Source organism: Homo sapiens, chromosome 12 (assembly GCF_000001405.40).
Source record: "Homo sapiens chromosome 12, GRCh38.p14 Primary Assembly".
NCBI classification, from domain to species: Eukaryota; Metazoa; Chordata; class Mammalia; order Primates; family Hominidae; genus Homo; species Homo sapiens.
Genome location: NC_000012.12, coordinates 64,301,934 through 64,321,540, shown reverse-complemented (window position 1 = coordinate 64,321,540; position 19,607 = coordinate 64,301,934). Strand labels below are relative to the sequence as shown.

Below are 19,607 nucleotides of genomic sequence, written 5' to 3'. Positions count from 1 at the left end.
GCAACATAGTGAGACCCCATCTCTACAAAAAATTTTTAAGTTTGTAAAAATAAAAGAGAGATTTCAAGCTGGGAACAGTGGCTCATGCCTGTAACCCCAGCAATTTGGGAGACTGAGGCAGGAGGATCACTTGAGGGCAGGAGTTTAAGACCAGCCTGGGCAATGTAGTGAGACCCCCATCTCTACAAAACAAAGTAGTTTTCCACTATCGTGGAGGTTCTAATCTTATGGGAGAGAGAAGATAACTTAATGTAAAAGGATAAACTTCCCCTCAAAATTATTGAAATAAAAAAAAAGATAAACCATCAACTGAAGGCAATATAGGGTAATAGTAATAGCTTGCACATATTGTTTCCAGTTTTGCAAACTCATTGCATGTATCCTCACATAAACCTTATGAGATGGGTACTATTATTGTTTCTATTTTAAAATTAGGAAATGAAGTCCTAGGTCCACTAAGATGTCAAAAGACAAAATAAGCATAGATTTAGTTTTATTTGTGATTCTAGAAGTGGGAGAAGTGGTCTGAAAAGCTGAGCAGAGGAGGTTGACTTTATAGGCAGAGAAAGGCTGAAGTAAGCTGAAATGAGGCACAAATTGGATTGCTTGTTTCAAAGTTACTGTTCTTATAGGGTTAAAACAGAGGACACTACTTCATTATTGACTGAGGTTGAGTGGAATCTGTTCTTCTGGAAAACTGGTCAGTTTCCAAGTTCAGTTTGATTACTGGTACTAAGCACAAGGGACTCCCTTCTGTTTTGGTCCGTTCTGCTGGGGCCTCATGCAGGAGGCTAGTTGAAAACAATGGCCTCTCATCAACTTTGTTTAACAAAGGTCACATAACCATTAAGTGGCAGAGCCAGGATTGGAATTTAGGTCTCACCATACTCTGCAACTTCTTAGTTTCTCCAACTTGTTTTCTTGTGCAGCAAAGTAAAGAAAGGTCATGGTGAGCTGGAGAGAATAGGGAAAGTAAAGGACACAGCATTGATTCTGAAAAAAGTGCTGATGCTATTGGGAAAATCAGAAGAGTATTAGCAGGAGGGGAATTAAAGAAAACATCATTTAAAAAATCTCAGGCCAGGCACAATGGCACAGGCCTGTAATCCCAGCACTTTGGGAGGTGGAGGCAGAGGTGGGCAGATCATTTGAGCCCAGGAGTTTGAGACCAGCCTGGGCAACATAGTGAGTTCCCATTGTTACCGGGGTGTCCTTGCTCCCAGAGCTCCCAAGATGAAGGCAGGCCGCTTCCAAGATGGTGGCAAGCCTTGTGTTCTCTGACCTGGGGTTCTTGGCCTCATGGATTCCAAGGAATGGAATCTTGGGCTATGTGGTGAGTGTTATAGCTCTATTAGAAGCCGTGGGTCACGGAAGAGAACCGCGTAACCCAGTAACTAGTGTTCAGCTCCATTAGGACGAACCCGGGCACTTAGCTGTGCAGGAACAATGGCAAGCCTTTAGCCCGTTCGGGAGCGGCACTGGGCGTCTCACTGGATCAGGAGCACAGCGGACACCCTGCCGGATCCGGAGGGATGGAAGTCAGTGGCGGGTCTGCCAAGGCGGCAAACAGGAGTGGTGGACGGGGAGCGAAAGCTCAGCTCGAGCCGTAACAAACAGACAAAAAGACAGTGCAGTTGCAAGATTTAATAGAGTGAAAACAGAGCTCCCATAAAAGGGAGGGGACCCAAAGAGTGTAGCTGTTGCTGGCTCAAATGCCTGGGTTTATATCCCGATCATTGTCCCTCCCACTGTGCTCTCAGGCGATAGATGACTGGCTATTTCTTTACCTCCTGTTTTTGCCTAATTAGCATTTTAATGAGCTCTCTTTACTACTGATTGGTTGGGTGTGAGCTAAGTTGCAAGCCCCGTGTTTAAAGGTGGAAGTGGTCACCTTCCCAGCTAGGCTTAGGGATTCTTAGTCGGCCTAGGGAATCCAGCTAGTCCTGTGTCTCACCATCACTACAAAAAAATACAAAAATTAGCTGGGCATAGTGGCACATGCCTGTAGTCCCAGCTACTCAGGAGGCTGAGGTGGGAGGATCACTTGAGCCTGGGAGGTGGAGGTTACAGACAGCCCAGATGGCACCACTGTACTCCAACCTGGGTGACAGAGTGAGACCCGGTCTCAAACAAACAAACAAACAAAACCCCTCTCTTCATATCCTTATTTGAATTGTTTTTTCTTTATAGGATCCATTAGCAATGTACAATTAAAGGACAATCAAGTTTCAAAACTTAAAAAGTCCTTTCAGTGGAAATATCAGGGCTCCATGAAGGACAGGCACAATACTTTCAATATATACAGTGCTTCATTCTGTGAAATAAAATGTATTTCCGAAATACAGTTTATTTCTGAAAACAGAAACGTATACTAAAAGATTGCAGTATCAAATCTCCTCTAGTCAATGGGTTATTACCAGCGAGGTTCAATGACTTCCTTGTTTTAACAAGCATTCCTTTTGTGAGAAAACATTTGTGTTCAGTCTTAAACTACCGGTTCTCTTTGTTGCTTACTGTGAAATTTTGCATGTCATGTTTAATACTAAATTCTACCTGACAGGGACCAGCAGGAGAGCAGTACACCATCCAAGGACTCAACTCTCTGTCCTCGTCCAGGCCTCAAAAAGCTGTCCCTTCATGGCCAAGGTGCCTTTCGACCCCTACCTTCCCCCTCCAGGAGGAGCTCTCAGTCTGCACCAACAACTGGCAAGGCTGTCAGCGAGCCATCTTGCACAACAAACACAAAAGAACCCCAGGGACTTCCAGATCACAACTCCATAAGTGAAATTCCTTTCAAGTGCAATGGGAATGGAAATGAGTTTTACTTAGGAAATTCCCTCTTAGATTCCCCTTCACAGAGCAACTCAAATTTAGAGAAAAAGGAGTCAGAACTTCATTTGTATGTTATTTCCACAACCTCATCAATATTTCTGCACTTAAAAAGTTCATGGAACAATTATATTATAGTAAGTGTCCTCCTAAGTTAACCTTAACCTGAATTTTTATATTTTTATTTTTTAGAGCAAACAAGCCCTCCTCCCTCCTTTACCTCCCATTTTGGAAATTTAGCCTTGGAATTTAATAATATTGTGAAAAACAAAATGTACTGAACAATTAAGGAGATGATTTTATTTAGGCGATTGCAATAGGGAAAAATGCTCATTAATGAGCAGTTTCTGGACGGGCATGGTGGCTCATTCCTGTAATCCCAGCACTTTGGGAGGCCGAGGTGGATGGATCTCTTGAGGTCAGAAATTCGAGACCAGCCTGGCCAAGATGGTGAAACCCTTGTCGCTACTAAAAAATACAAAAATTAGCCGGATGTGGTGGTGCGCGCCGGTAATCCCAGCTATTTGGGAGGCTGAGGCATGAGAATCAATTAAACTCCAGAGGCGGAGTTTAATTGCAGTGAGCTGAGATTGCACCACTGCACTCCAGGGCGACAGAGGAAGACTCCATCTCAAAAAAACAAACAAAAATCACCTGGGGTTTTGTAGAGGTAGGTAAGGTGAGTCATGGAAGTCATGAAGAAGGAGGGAGACAAGTCTTATCCTGGAATATGTGTGAGCAGGTGGTCTTTTGCAGTTGCTGGGGTGACAGAGACCTCAGGTAAGGTTCAACGTTGTCAGTATGATTCTGTATTGCTTAGCTGTGCTATTGAAAGTGGGTTGATGGGGGAGACCTTGTTATAGGATCAGATAAATTTGTCTAGAAATCACTAGGTTAAGTCCTTATTTTATAAATGAAGAAACTGAAATGCAATCTTTTTTTTTTTCTTTTGAGATGGAGTTTCGCTCTTGTCACCCAGGCTGGAGCGCAGTGGTGTGATCTCGGCTCACTGAAACCTCTACCTCCTGGATTCAAGCAATTCTCCTGCCTCAGCCTCCTGAGTAGCTGGGATTACAGTTGCCCACCACCACGCCCGGCTAATTTTTGTATTTTTGGTAGAGACGGGGTTTTGCCATGTTGGGCAGGCTGGTCTCGAACTCCCGACCTCAGGTGATCCGCCCACCTCGGCCTCCCAAAGGCTGGGATTACAGGCGTGAGCCACCACGCCTGGCCGAAACACAAAATTTTTAAGTGATTTACTCAAGATTATATAACTTTAGGGACAGAGTCAGAACTCCCATTTAGGGACCTTTTTGTTAGAATTCATTTAAAAAATAAGTAATTATTAAAAGAGTAATACAATCCCTTTATCTTCAGTAGTACATAATTTTTATTATTGATCTTTCAACATAATAATAATAATTATAAAGGGCTATTTCAGATAGAAGAAACTAGGAAGCCAGGGTTTTATAAACGGCTAAAAATTATGAAAAATTACAGGACAACCCTTAATTTTTTTCTCATACCACTGTTTGGAAGACTTCAAACATTTAAAATTCCTTTCTAAATTTTTAAATGGCTTTCTTTAAATTAAAAATGTAAACAAATTACAAATAGAGGAAAGCTCTGGTGTATTAAAAAAAGATCTCATATATTCTAATAGAAAAGCCAAAACTTACCTGACTTTAAAAAATCTATGTGAATACTTCAAAATAACTGTTTATGCTTCCCTGAATTGCCCAGCTTCAGGTTTTAGCAATACTTTTAAATTATGCAGCAGATGCATGGTTGGAGCATTCAGATTGGCGGACTCATTACCTGCTAAGCTATAAATAGTCTATGCAATAACAATAACTAATATCTATTGTTAATTTCCTACTAGAAAATAACAATAGAACGGAGCCTGATGCTTCATGGATATTAACTTATTTAATTTTTACAACAACCCTATGAGGTAGGACTGTTATTCCCATTTTATAGATGAGGAAATTGAGGCACAGAGAAATTAAATGATATGTGCAAAGTCACATAGCTAGTGTAGAGCTGGGATTTGAATCTAGGTAGTCTGATTTTTTTTTCTATGACCATTGAAATAAATGTGGGTGGAGGAAGACTATCTTTATGAGTTGGTAGACACTATCATTGAAAATAACGTTCTCTTAGCCAGGTGTGGTGTAGTAGCACCTATAGTACTAGTTACTCCAGAGGCTGAGACAGCAGGATCGTTTGAGCCCAGGAGTTAGAAGCTCTGCTGCACACTACTGCACTCCATCCTGGGCAATAAGCAAGACTCCATCTCTAAAATAAAAAGTAAGGCCAGGCGTGGTGCCTCATGCCCATAATCCCAGCACTTTCGGAGGCTGAAGTGGGTGGATCACCTGAGCTCAGGAATTAGAGACCAGCCTGGACAACAGAGATGGGTGAAATCCCATCTCTACAAAAAATACAAAAAAATTAGCCAGGAACATGGCCTGCATGTACTCGGGAGGCTGAGATGAGGATTACTTAAGCCTGGGAGGCGGAGGTTGCAGTGAGCCAAGATTGTGCCACTTGCACTCCAGCCTGTGTAATACAGTGAGACTCTGTCTGAAAAAAAATATATAAAATAAAATTAAAAAAATAAATAAGTTTTAAAAATTACAATAATGTTCTATCTCTTCCTTGAAAGATGGAAAATGAATAACCAAATATTTCACACGTAAGTGAGAAATCGGGTTAGAATTCATTCTACTAACAATAAGCTACTAGTTCAATATAAACACTTTTTTTTTTTTTTTTTTGAGGTGGAGTTTCACTCTTGTTGCCCAGGCTGGCTTGCAATGGTGCGATCTTGGCTCACTGCAACCTCTGCCTCCCGGGTTCAATTGATTCTCCTGCCTCAGCCTCTCCAGTAGCTGGGATTACAAGCATGCGCCACCATCCTCTTCTAATTTTTGTATTTTAGTAGAGACAGGGTTTCGCCATGTTGGCCAGGCTGGTCTTGAACTCCTGACTTCAGGTGATCTGCCTGCCTCGGCCTCCCAAAGTGCTAGGATTACAGGGGTGAGCCACTGTGCCCGGCCACATTACACATTTTAACTTTCTCTGTACTTTTAGATAAAATTAACCCAAACCATCTAATTAGAAATTATCAGCACTCATCCTGATTTTAAGAGTTTCCAAAGAGTTGAGCCTCCTTCAGTAATCCATTTTATATGTAACTTTCACCAAAAATAGTTACACGTAGGTTGTTTAGCGCCTTAAATTCTGTAAAGATGAAATGTGGTAATTCCTTGCCTTGTATACATTGTGAAGATAGCTGCTACAAAGCTAAATATGGGATACCCCAAATTAAAATTCTGGATTTAAGGAAAATGTAAATATTTGGAGAGGGAAGAAAGGCTGCTTTAAAAAAAAAAAAAAAAACGTAGAACAATGACAAAAGTAGTAAGAAAAAGCACATATCTCCCTTGCCACCATCCACCCACTACACCACTCTGATATTAAGCACAAGACAGGTTGGGTGGCTGAGGCAGTTGGATCACCTGAGGTCAGGAGTTTGAGACCAGCCTGGACAACATGGTGAAACCCCGTCTCTACTAAAAATACAAAAATTGGCTGGCCGTGGTGGTGGGCGCCTGGAATCCCAGTTACTCAGGAAGCTGAGGCAGGAGAATTGCTTGAACCTGGGAGGCGGAGGTTGCAGTTAGCCAAGATCGTGCCACTGCACTCCAGCCTGGGCAACAAGAGCTAAACTCCGTCTCAAAAAAAAAAAAAAAAAAAAAAAAAAAAAAAGCTGGCCGGATGCGGTGGCTCACTCCTGTAATCCCAGCACTTTGGGAGGCCGAGGCGGGCGGATCAGGAGGTCAGGAGATCGAGATCTTCCTGGCTAACACGGTGAAACCCCGTCTCTACTAAAAAATAGAAAAAATTAGCCGGGCGTGGTGGCGGGCGCCTATAGTCCCAGCTACTCGGGAGACTGAGGCAGGAGAATCGCTTGAACCTGGGAGGCGGATGTTGCCGTGAGCCGAGATGGCGCTACTGCACTCCAGACTGACAGAGCGAGACTCCGTCTCAAAAAAAAAAAAAGCTTGTCTGCAGTGTCAAATCAACAACATTTGAGAAATTCCTTCTGACCTGTCTTAAGCCTCAACATAAATAAAAGATTATTTAGAGAAATTGCTGAACACTGTATGACTATTTTGAGGACCCAGAATAAATGAGAAATGGCAACACTAAAGGTTTAAGGAAAAATAACTCCATTAATAAGGAAATAGTTAACAAAAGTGTTGTGTATCTATGCTATGGAATACTAAATAATCATTAAAAGAATTGATATTGGTTGGATGCAGTGGCTTATGCCTGTAATCCTAGCACTTTGGGAGGTTCAGAGGGGAGGATCGCTTGAGGCCAGGAGTTCAAGACCAGCCTGGTCAACATAGCAAGACGCCATCTCTACTAAAAAATAAAAAGTAAAAAATTGGCCTGGCAAGGTAGAACATGTCTGTAGTCCTAGCTATTCAGGAGGCTGAGGCAGGAGGACTGCTTGAGCTCAGGAGTTTGAGGCTGCAGTGAGGTATGATCATGCCACTGTACTCCAACCTGGGTGACAGAGTGAGACCCTGTCTCATAAGAAAAAAAAAAAATTGAAGTAAATCGGTAAATCTTTTTTTTTTTTTTTTTTTTTTTGAGACAGAGTTTTGCTCTTGTTGCCCAGGCTGGAGTGCAATGGTGTGATCTTGGCTCACGGCAACCTCTGCCTCCCAGGTTCAAGCGATTCTCCTGCCTCAGCCTCCCGAGTAGCTGGGATTACAGGCATGTGCCACCATGCCTGGCTAATTTTTGTATTATTAGTAGAGATGGGGTTTCACCATGTTGACCAGGCTTGTCTCGAACTCCTGACCTCGTGATCCGCCCACCTTGGCCTCCCAAAATGCTGGAATTACAGGTGTGAGCCACTGGGCCGGGCTGTAAATCGGTAAATCTATATACACAGACATGAAAAACCATCCACCATATATTAAGTTAAATCAAGTTCCAGATTAATATATGCGATATAATTTAGGATTAAATATATATTATAAAAATATATAAATACTATAAATTTATGTGTTTATAATTCATATGTCTTTATATGCCTGGAAGGACCTAAACCAAACAGACGATAGATACTTTTAAAAATTTTAGACACAAGGTCTTGCTCTGTTGCCCAGGCTGGAGTGTAGTGGCACAATCATAGCTCACTGCAGCCTCCAACTCCTGGACTCTTTTGATCCACCTGCCTCAGCCTCCGAAGTAGCTGAGACTACAGGTACAAGCCATGGTACCTGGCTTCATGATCAGACACTTTGCATAGTGGGATGGAAGGGGTAGGGAAAAACAGAGAATTTTATATTTTACTTTATCTAAACTGTGTGATTTTGATAAATAATTTCTTTCTTTCTTTCTTTCTTTCTTTTTTTTTTTTTTTTGAGACAGAGTCTCGCTCTGTTGCAGAGGCTGGAATGCAGTGGTGTGATCTCTGCTCACTGCAAGCTCCGCCCCCCGGGTTCATGCCATTCTCCTGCCTCAGCCTCCCGAGTAGCTGGGACTACAGGCACCTGCCACCATGCCCGGCTAATTTTTTTTGTATTTTTAGTAGAGATGGGGTTTCACAGTGTTAGCCAGGATGGTCTCAATCTCCTGACCTTGTGATCTGCCTGCCTCGGCCTCCCAAAGTGCTGGGATTACAGGCATGAGCCACCGCACCCGGCCTAAATAATTTCATTTTATAATGAGCAAGTGTTATATTTAAAACTTTTTAAAAACTGGATAAGAAAAAAATTCCCTGTGGTATTATTAAACACTAGAATGAGTTTTATAAACAAATCGTGTACTATAGGAGGGCTTAAAGAATAGATACATAACATTGACTAAAGGTAGGGGGAATTGATCTTCAGTAAATAAAAATTCTAACAATTTCTACTTTTTCCTTTTTCAGAAAGCTACTCTTTTACAAGATCCCTTCTATGCTAGTGAGTTCAGTCCTGCTATTGGAAGTCAAAAGCCATATAGGTAAGAAGTGATGATGTATGATAGAGTTGCATGGGGAATTTTTCTCTCCTCTTTGCCTCTCCTTTTTTTTGAAACTGAGTCTCACTCTGTTTCCCAGGCTGGAGTGCAGTGGCACAGTCTTGGCTCACTGCAACCTCTACCTCCTGGGCTCAAGAGATTCTCCTGCCTCAGCCTCCTAAGTAGCTAGCACTCCAGGCGCCCGCCACCAAACCTGGCTAATTTTTGTATTTTTTAGTGGAGACAGGAGTTTCGCCATGTTGGCCAGGTCGGTTAGATTGGACTGACCTCAGGTGATCCTCCTGCCTTGGCCTCCCAAAGTGCTGGGATTGCATGTGCGAGCCACCGTGCCCGGCCCTCTTTGCCTCCCCTAACTCTGTGTTGTATGTGTGGCTATCACAGTTATACCTTTACCTCATCTGCCTGCCCTGACGGTTAAGTCTGCAAACACAGGTATCCACTGGACATCTTTTGTATGTCTCATAGGAACGTTAAAGTCAACATATTAAAAGAGAACTCAGCATCTTCCCTCTGCAACCTGACTTTCCTCTTGTGCTTCCTAACACAGGGAATGATGTCATTATCCCTAGATCACCTCAGCCAGAGTCCTAGAAATCACCCTTGCCTCCTCTCTCCCCTTCACCATTTCCAGCATCCAGCCAGTCATCACATGCCTTATTTATTGCGCCTTTACTATCTCTGGATAACATCCACTTCTTTCCATGGTCACTCGCTCATGCCCAGTTATCTCAGTTCTGAGCTCCTACAGTGTTTTCCTAGCTGGTCTCTCTGCCTTCACTCTTGCTCCTCTCCAGCCCATTCTCCATTACAACAGAAGAATCTTTCGGAAGCACAAATCTGATCATGTAATTCCTCCCGGGAAGCCTTTGAATGGCTTCCCATTGCCCTTAGGTGAAAGTCTAAACAGCGTACAAAAAATATGTATGACATCTCTTTTTATTTTTCTTTCCTCAAGCATTGTGTCCATCCTCACTCTTGCCCTAAGCTCCTGCTCCAAATGAACTTCTCACAATTCTCAGGAAGCTCCCTGTTCTCTTCCCTCTGGGGCCTATCATGATGGCCCCTCTTCTGGAACACTACTGTACTCTTCTTCCTCTTCCTGAATAACTTCAACTCATCAAGTCTCAGCTTATTTATCATTTTCTCTAAAAATCTTTCTTGACACTCCAGAACTAAGTTAGGAGGGGCTCCTCCATAACGTCCTGTGTTCACACTTTTTTTTTCTTTCTGTTTTTGTTTTTTTTTTTTGAGACAAAGTCTTGCTCTGTTGCCCAGGCTGTAATGCAGTGGAGCGATCTTGGCTCACTGTAACCTCTGCCTCCCAGGTTCAAGCAGTTCCCCTGCATCAGCCTCCCGAGTAGCCATGCCCGGCTAATTTTTTTATTTTTAGTAGAGACTGAGTTTCACCATGTTGGCCAGGCTGGTCTCGAACTCCTGACCTTGTGATCCTCTCCCCTCAGCCTCCCAAAGTGCTGGGATTACAGGCATGAGCCACCACGCCTGGCAATAGCAAAGACTTGGAACCAACCCAAATGTCCAACAATGATAGACTGGATTAAGAAAATGTGGCACATATACACCATGGAATACTATGCAGCCATAAAAAATGATGAGTTCATGTCCTTTGTAGGGACATGGATGAAGCTGGAAACCATCATTCTGAGCAAACTATTGCAGGGACGAGAAACCAAACACTACATGTTCTCACTCATAGGTGGGAATTGAACAATGAGAACACTTGGACACAGGAAGGGGGACATCATACACCAGGGCCTGTTGTGGGGTGGGGGAAGGGGGGAGGGATAGCATTAGGAAATATACCTAATGTAAACGACGAGTTAATGGGTGCAGCACACCAACATGGCACATGTATACATATGTAACAAACCTGCACGTTTGCACATGTACCCTAGAACTTAAAGTATAATAAAAAAAAATAAAGAAAGAAGAAGAAAAAAATAAGAAATGAGATGACTGAAACATAATGAATATATAAAAATTCAGAAGTGTATAATGATGCATGATAGAGAGAGGGCCCTCCCTCCCCACCTGCAAGGAAATAAAACACATGTAACATTAGAAAAAAATAGGGCACCAATTCATTACTCTGCAAATCATCAAACAAATGGAAAAAATTTAATATATTCTTCCTTTCCTCCATGAACCGTAACGAGTTCAGGATAACCAAGTAGCCCTAGATGATGAGTGCAAATTTCATTGTATAGAATTCCAGCTAGTGAATGCGGAAGGCTTAATAGAATTAGAAAATTACAATTTATGTAGCCTGTAATGAAATGACAGATTCATTTAACAATCTTCAGTGGATGAAACCATTAGACAGAGAGGTGAAGTGGGGCCAGGTATGGTGGCTCATGCCTGTAATCCCAGCACTTTGGGAGACCGAAGTGGGAGGATCGCTTGAGCCCAGGAGTTTGAGACCAGCCTAGGCAACATAGTGAGACCTCATCTCTACAAAAAAATTTAAAAATGCCAGGTGTGCCTGTGGTCCCAGCTACTTGAGAGGCTGAGGTAGGAGGATCACTTGAGCCTGGGAGGTGGAGGCTGTAATAAGCTGCGATTGCACCGCCGCACTCCAGCCTGAGTGACAGAGAGAGACCATTTCTAAAAGAAAAAGAGATTTAAAAAAAAAAGGTGAAGTGGAACTTTAAAATGGAGGGATCATGTTGTAAATAACTAAATCCATTGATTTGTCTTAGTATCACTTCAGTGAGACAGCCAGACTTTGTGTGCCTCATTATTTGATGTAATATAAAATACACAGCACCACCTATGAAGTATTTTTGTTAAAACGGTTAAACCTGAATCTGACTCAAAAGTGTGAGTATGATAAGCCGGGTGCAGTGGCTCACACCTATAATCCCAGCACTTTGGGAGGCCGAGGAGGGAGGATCACTTGAGGCCAGGAGTTTGAGACCAGCCTGGCCAATAGGGCGAAACCCTGTCTCTACTAAAGATACAAAAATTAGCCTGGTGTGGTGGCACATGCCTGTAATCCCAGCTACTTGGGAGGCTGAGGTATGAGAATCACTTGAACCTGGGAGGCAGAGGCTGCAGTGAGCTGAGATGGCACCACTGCACCACAGCCTGGGCAACAGAGTGAGACTCCATCTCAAAAACAAACAAACAAACAAACAAACAAACAAAAAAACAGTGTGAGTATGCTAGTCTTAAAAAGGAAGTAAATTCTGCTACTACCACATGGATGAACCTTGAAGACATCATGCTAAGTGAAATAAGCCAGATACAAAAGGGCAAATATATGATTTCACTTATGTGAGGTACCTAAAATAGGCAAATTTATAGAGACAGAAAATAGAATAGAGGTCTCCGGGGTTGGGGAGAGTGGTGAAGGGAGAGTTACTGTTTAATGGGTATAGAATTTCTGTTTGGAAAGATGAAAAAGTTCTGGAAATGGATAGTGGTGATACTTGTAGAACATTGTGAATTAACTTAATGCCACTGAATTGTACACCTAAAAATGGATATGATGGGAAACTTTGTTATATAATTTTAGTTCAATTTTTTTAAAAAGTATATATGTGTGTTTGTATGTGTATGTAAGAGAACAGATAAAACAAGATTGGCAAAATATTGAAAATTATTAGAGCAAGGTGATGGGTACATGGGATTTCTTCTTTCTTTCCTTCTTTCTTTTCTTTCTTTCTTTTCTTTCTTTCTTTCTTTCTTTCTTTCTTTCTTCTTTCTTTCTTTCTTTCTTTCTTTCTTTCTTTCTTTCTTTCTTTCTTTCTTCCTTTCTGTTTCTTTCTTTCTTTTCTTTCTTTCTTTCTTTTTTTTTTGAGATGGAGTCTTGCTCTGTTGCCCAAGGTGGAGTGTAATGGCACCATCTCGGCTCACTGCAACCTCCACCACCCGGGTTCAAGCAATTCTCCTGCCTTAGCCTCCTGAGTAGCCAGGATTACAGGCATGCACCACCACGCCCTGCTAATTTTTGTGTTTTTAATAGAGAAAGGGTTTCACCATGTTGGCCAGGCTGGTCTCGAATGACTGACCTCAGGTGATCTGCCTGCCTTGGCCTCCCACAGTGCTGGGATTACAGACATGAGCCACCGCCCAGCTGGGTACATGGGATTTCTTATAAAATTTTCTCCATTTTGATGTATGTTTGAAAATTTCCATAATAAAAAATTTTATTGCTTGATGATGTGATATAGAAAAAAATTTTTTGAAAGACTTAAGAAACATAACAAGCAAATATAAGAAATATCTTATTTAGTCTTGATTTTAACAAACCAAAACTAAGAAAACATTTTTATGTTTTATTTATGTATTTATGTATGTATGTATGTATGTATTTATTGATACAGGGTCTTCCACTATCGCTCAGGCTGTAGTACAGTGGCATGATCTTGGCTCACTGCAATTTCCACCTCCCAGGCTCGAGCAATTCTCATGCCTCAGCCTGCTGAGTAGCTGGGACTACAGATGTGCACCAGCATGCCTGGCTAATTTTGTGTAGTTTTTTAGTAGAGACTGGGTTTTGCCATGTTGCCCAGGCTGGTCTCGAAATCCTAAGCTCAGGCAATCCACCTGCCTGGGCCTCCTAAAGTGCTAGGATTACAGGCACGAGCCACCGCGCCCAGCCGTTTATATTTTATTTACTTTTGAGAGAGGGTCTTACTCTGTCACCAAGGCTGGAGTGAAGTGGCTTGATCACAGCTCACTGCAGCCTCGACCTCCTGGGCTCAAGCAATCCTTCCACCTCAGCCTCCTGAGTAGCTGGGACTACAGGTGCACACTACCATGGCTGGCTAATTAATTAATTAATTTATTTATTTATTTATTGAGATGGGGTCTGGTTATATTGCCCAGGCTGGTCTGGAACTCCTGGGTTTAAACAATCCTCCCACCTTGGCCTCCCAAAGTGCTGGGATTTGCACCCCTGGGCCACCACGCCCAGCTGTAAAAACACATTTTTAAGTCAGTAGAACAATTTGAAAATGGTCTGAGTCTGGCCGGGCGAGGTGGCTCACGCCTGTAATCCCAGCACTTTGGGAGGCTGAGGCGGGCAGATCGTTTGAGGTCAGGAGTTCAAGACCAGCCTGGCCAACATGGTGAAACCCTGTCTCTACAAAAATACAAAAATTAGACAGGCATGGTGGTGTGTGCCTGTAATCCCAGCTACTTGGGAGGCTGAGGTAGGAGAATTGCTTGAACCTGGGAGGTAGAAGTTGCAGTGAGCCGAGATTGTGCCACGGCACTCCAGCCTGGGTGACAGAGCAAGACTCCGTCTCAAAAAAAAAAAAAAAAAAAGGACTGACTATCAGCAATACCAAAGAATGTTTGATAATTTTGTAGGGTGTGATAATCATTTTGTAAGAAAGTATTCATTTTATTTAGAGATACATTCTGAGGTATGTAAGAATTAAGTGACATAATATTTAGGATTTCTTTTTTAAAAAGTTATATGGATAGCTTAAAATTTCTATAGGTTTTCATACGTTTACTCTAAAAAAAGCATCAGTTTTCATTTTGGTATTTTATTTAAAGTGATTTTAAAGCTAATTGTGTAATAAAACAGACTCAAATTCTGTGTGTGTGTGGCTTGAAATTTATTCCTGAAGGCAAGAAGGATGAGTTCTACCACTCTCTCGGCTCAGGAAAATCATATTTATTACTAAGTTAATTCCTGAAGGCAATATACTTAAAATGCCATGATTTCAAATGCACTGTGAAAGATGCAGTGATACACAAGAAATAGCCCCTACCTGCAAGGCATCTTCAGTTTAAAAGGAATAAACATCCTTTAGGTTTTCAATTTAGAACTGTGTCACAGATGGGATGGTTCTGCAAGCTGACCACTGTGAAAATCATACACAGTGCTTTTGAGATAATATAGGAAGAGCCTTTCCAGTGCTTTACAAATGTGAGGTATTATTTATAGTAAATGTCTGGAAAGATGAAAAAATACAGGAAAAATAAAGCTTGTTATTAGATTAAGAATCTTTCCTGCGGCTGGGAGTAGTGGCTCACGCCTGTAATCTCAGCACTTTCAGAGGCTGAGGTGGGCGGATTACTTGAGGTCAGGAGTTTGAGACCAGCCTGAGCAACAGGGCAAAACTTTGTCTCTACTAAAAGTACAAAAATTAACCGGGTGTGGTGGTACGCACTTGTAGTCCCAGCTACTCTCAGGAGGCACAAGAATCGCTTGAACCCAGCCTGGGTGACAGAAGAAGACTCTGTCTAAAAAAAAAAAAAAAAACAAAACCTTCCTGCAACACTATTTTGCTGAATTTATGTTTTCTACTTGATGAAAATAGAGTATCTGTTAACATTAGTATAGATTTTCCTCTTATTCCTAAGTTGAATAATGGAGTCTCCTGGCATTTGGCTTTTTCTTATTTCTTCAGTCAAATGAAGTTTGTCATCTATGTATAAGCTAATATTTTCTGAATCCTCAAAGAAATTATTATTCATAACTTTTCTGCAGTAATATAGAATATGTACTCTAACTTGAATTTATGATGTATATGAGACCTCCATTTATGTATGAATTGATTTTTAGTCTGAAGAGATTAGTATGCTGTTTTCTGTGAAAATTTTTTTGGCCATTAAAAAAAATTAGTTTGGCATTACAATCTATTATCCTAGTTGGCAAAGGATTAAAAACAGTTTATTTTTGTTGCGGATCTTAGCAAATTGCTGACTCCAAATGAAAAAACAGGAAAATCAATTTCAAAATAATTCTGCTGATATTGTATCTTATCTGAGCTTTTGCTTTTCTAAGCTCTTTTGTTTGTAAAAACTACATTTCTGTTGTTGGAGTTCTCAGAGAATAGAGGGATTTCATAGTTACTTTTTAAATGAAATATGGTGGTAATTAGAAGTGGATAGGGAAGCAGGATCTCAAACTTATTCCTGTTTTATTTAGAGACCGTTTATCAAACACTTAGTGTGTATGAAGACATGCATTAACTAAAATATCAAAATAGCACATTTGGCCGGGCGTAGTGGCTCACGCCTGTAATCCCAGCACTTTGGGAGGCAGAGGTGGGTGGATTACCTGAGGTAAGGAGTTTGAGACCAGCCCAGCCAACATGGTGAAACCTCATCTCTACTAAAAATACAAAAAATTAGCTGGGTATGGTGGTGCTCGCCTGTAATCCCAGCTACCCAGGAGACTGAGGCAGGAGAATAGCTTGAACTCAGGAGGCGGAGGTTGCGGTGAGCCAAGATCACGCCACTGCACTCCAGCCTGGGTGACAGAGTGAGACACTATCTCAAAACAAACAAACAAACAAACAAAAAACCCAGCACATTTGGATAGGTACTATCATTATTCCTATTTTACACATGAGGAAATTGAAGCACAAAGAAGCTATGTAACTTGCCCATGATAATGACCTAACTGAGTAGGGGTAGATCTAGGATTCTGACCTCAGTCTTCATTTTCATAATCATTATGCTCCTCTGCCTCTCTGCTATTATTGAATTCATAATGATCAGTTTCCCTCCAGCATCTCCGCTAGAAAAGAGACCATTTTTTTTTCAGAAGTCTTAATTTTCAGGTTAATAAGAGCGACTCATTGATTGGACAAAGGAGAACATCTTAGATGTTTTTTAAATAAAGGGGGAGGTAGTAGGCAAGTACCAACATTCCATGCAGTAGCTAGTATTGGGATAAACGGCTGGTACAGGTTACTGGAGTAAGTGGTAAAAAATGTTTTTACTTCAAGTCAGAAATTTTAAGATTCCATCAATCTACATAGAACATGAACTATCTTTCCTACTGTTACCTTGCACCCTGGCTCTCTGAATCACTGGTTGTGTGAGCTTGGACAGGTTACTTAAACCCCCCCACAACTTCCTGTAAAATGCGTTAGTAATTCCCAGCTCGGTCCCCACAGTGGAGCCAGCTCAGTCCAAGAACGAGTCTACGGAAAGCACTCAGGCCAGAGCCGGCCACCTCGTCAGCGCCCAGTAAAGCGCAAGTTGTTATTACTGAGCACAGTGGGAGGGGGAAACAATATTTAACCCGGTGACATTTTTTCCAAGTTGCTAAAAGTCAGCTGAGGGGATAGGATAGGTACACGAGTAACTAACTACAATGAGTGAAATGGGATTAATGTGATACTAGGAGTGTGAAAAAACTGCAGTGGGAGAGGGGCTGCATTTGTTGGTGGAATTAGGGAAAGATCTGAGGAGGTTTTTCTGCTAAGCCAGCTTTTCCTTAGGTGTGGAAGACACGTGGTTCAGTAATGGGAGATGATTCCAGGTGGTACTCTGACATGGCATGAAACAACTTTGAATTCCATGGTGGAAATATGTGATTCCTTTTTCCAGCTAGGCTGATCTCATCAGGGAGAACCTCTCAGCTTGGGGCCACTAGTGATAGTTCTTGAACACATGCTCATCTGCCCTTTCCTCACAGAGAAGCCAGCTACAGGCTCAGAAAATGCAGCATTTACTTAGAATTTATGTTGCTTTCATGCCATTTACACCAAGTGATACTGGTTTTCCCTGGAAAGTGACACAACATTTTCTTTATAAACTTCTTAAAAAAAAAAGCTAGTTGATTGAAAGAAAAATATTACATAAAGGCTCATGGATTATGGTAAATGAAAGAGGGACAGAAATTTACCAGGGACAGTGAGAGTATTCCTGGTATAGGAACAGCTTGAGTTAAGGGGCACGGGCAAAAAAGTATGTTTGGAGCGTAATAAACAGTTCAATTTGTGGGGAGCAAGTTTCACTACTGGTGAGTATTAAGGCTAGGAGAATAAAACTATATTAAAATCCCATTAGTAACAAAGTTTAACAAACCTGACAGTAATCATTGATATTCCTAAACTGCTATGTCTTACCATTTTTTTAAGTGGAAAATTTTCTTCTGTTTCTGTAGGTCTGAGGAGAAAATTAAGCACTTCAGTCAACTTAAATCTGAACTTTTTCTTAAAGACAATTCTTTGAGGAGGATACTTTCTTTACTTATGGAACTTAAAGTAGCAGCCCAGAAAAACTTCATTCTGAAAAGGCTTTTCTGGAAGGTAAGTGTTTTGTTTTATTTTTAATCTTTAAAGTTTGTGTTTCCTGTTTACCAAATACAAACATACATTAAAATATAAATAAGAGTTGTCTTGTATTCTGATGCTGTATTTTTAAATGTTGATAAAATTTAATGTAGTCATGTCTTAATGGTGGATACTTTGTGATGCAATCAGTAATGTATATGTGTGTGTGGAGGGGAGATGGGAAGAGAGGGGAGTGGTAGCAAAAAGTAGCTGCCATGCATTGGGTTGGCAGAGCCAACGGAGAGATGTTAGGAGGAACATTTTTGGCATACAAGATATATAGACAGTGAGATGGGAAAGTAGATTTTAAGAAGTTTTTGTTTATTTTTTATTTTTTTGAGACAGTCTTGCTCTTGTCGCCCAAGCTGGAGTGCAATGGCACGATCTCAGCTCACTGCAACCTCTGCCTCCCAGGTATAAGCCATTCTCTTACCTCAGCCTCCCAAGTAGCTGGGATTACAGGCGCCCACTACCACGCCCAGCTAATTTTTTGTGTTCTTAGTAGAGATGGGGTTTCACCATGTCGGCCAGGTTGGTCTTGAACTCCTGACCTCAGGTGATCCACCCGTCTTGGCCTCCCAAAATGCTGGAGTTACAGGTGTGAACCACCGCGCCCTGCCTGTTTGTTTATTTTTTAAATAGACACAGGGTCTCACTCTGTTGCCCAGTCTGGTCTCAAACTCCTGGGCTCAAGTGATCCTCCTGCCTTGGCTTCCTAAAGTGCTGTGATTACGGGCATGAGCCACTGTACATGGCTGATTTCAAGATGTTTTATTGTGCAGTTTCCCCTACTGTAAGAATATAATTCAAAAAAGTATTTTTGAGTATAAGACTGGTATTTTTAAAAATGTGAGTCCTGGGGAGGCAAGGCAACCTCATTCTCACTCAGTAAATTACAGACACCTCATTTTCATGTTCAGGTGAAAGTGTTAAGAAGCCCAGGGGAGTGACCTGGTGTGGTGCTAATGGTGGTGCTAATGAGGCCTCCATGAGAGAGCCCTGTCTAGGGCTGTGTTCATGTTGATTGCTATATATTTTATCCTAATTCTGGCATTGGTCACATAAGTAGCTGCCATCATTTTACTGAGCAATTGTAAAGCATGTGAACTCCCAACCATACAAGACAGTCCTGGCTATTTATTAGCTTCTAGGTCCTTGATATGTAGGGTGACCATTTTGGTTTGCCCAGATTAGGGTGACCAACTATTCCAGTTTTCCTGGGACTAAGGAAATTCCTGCAACATTGGAAAGCTAGAACAGTTCCAAGCAAATCAGTACGGTGAAGGCAGATTAGCTGTAGAGAATAATATGCCAAATGTCCCACAACATTGAGACATTGAGACTCAGGTAAGGATGATGTAGTGCTGCGTAGTCTAAAATGGTTGGTACTGGATGGATCCTGTGAGGAATACACCATCCAAGTTTTGACTCTAGAACTTCAGAAGATTGTGGAAAATATGACCAACCAAGTTGATTATGAAGATGAAATGGAATTCATGTGGAAAGGGTAAATAAATTAGGATTATCTTCTTCCCAAATAAACCTCTCCAGTCCACCCCACACACAGTATCAATTTAATCTACAACCCTGATTGTATGGGATTGCTTGTTCAAAAGTTTCTTGTGACTTTCCTTGCTAGTAAAGACTTTGGCTTCAACATTTAAGGCTCTCCACTAA

General features: G+C 41.5%; 1 protein-coding gene across 7 annotated transcripts in view, besides 1 other annotated feature; it reads left to right on the top strand.

Annotated features, from left to right (window-relative positions):
• C12orf56 (chromosome 12 open reading frame 56) overlaps positions 1-19,607 on the top strand; it is a 125,997-nt gene that overhangs the window by 69,218 nt on the left and 37,172 nt on the right. For 6 of the 7 annotated variants that reach the window (NM_001170633.2, XM_047428257.1, XM_024448831.2 and 3 more), the window contains exons 4-6: positions 2,561-2,966; positions 8,789-8,862; positions 17,762-17,906. In NM_001170633.2, the coding sequence (NP_001164104.1) occupies positions 2,561-2,966; positions 8,789-8,862; positions 17,762-17,906 (625 nt within the window). The remainder of the gene's footprint in view (positions 1-2,560; positions 2,967-8,788; positions 8,863-17,761; positions 17,907-19,607) is intronic. The other variant, NM_001099676.3, reaches the window with a different exon arrangement.
• Positions 1,441-2,019: an enhancer, noted in NCBI's record as "H3K27ac-H3K4me1 hESC enhancer chr12:64713302-64713880 (GRCh37/hg19 assembly coordinates)". NCBI's record gives its function as "activates a minimal SCP1, AML or CMV promoter by ChIP-STARR-seq in primed H9 embryonic stem cells {active_cell/tissue: H9 hESC(primed)}" and the evidence as "EXISTENCE:reporter gene assay evidence [ECO:0000049][PMID:30033119]".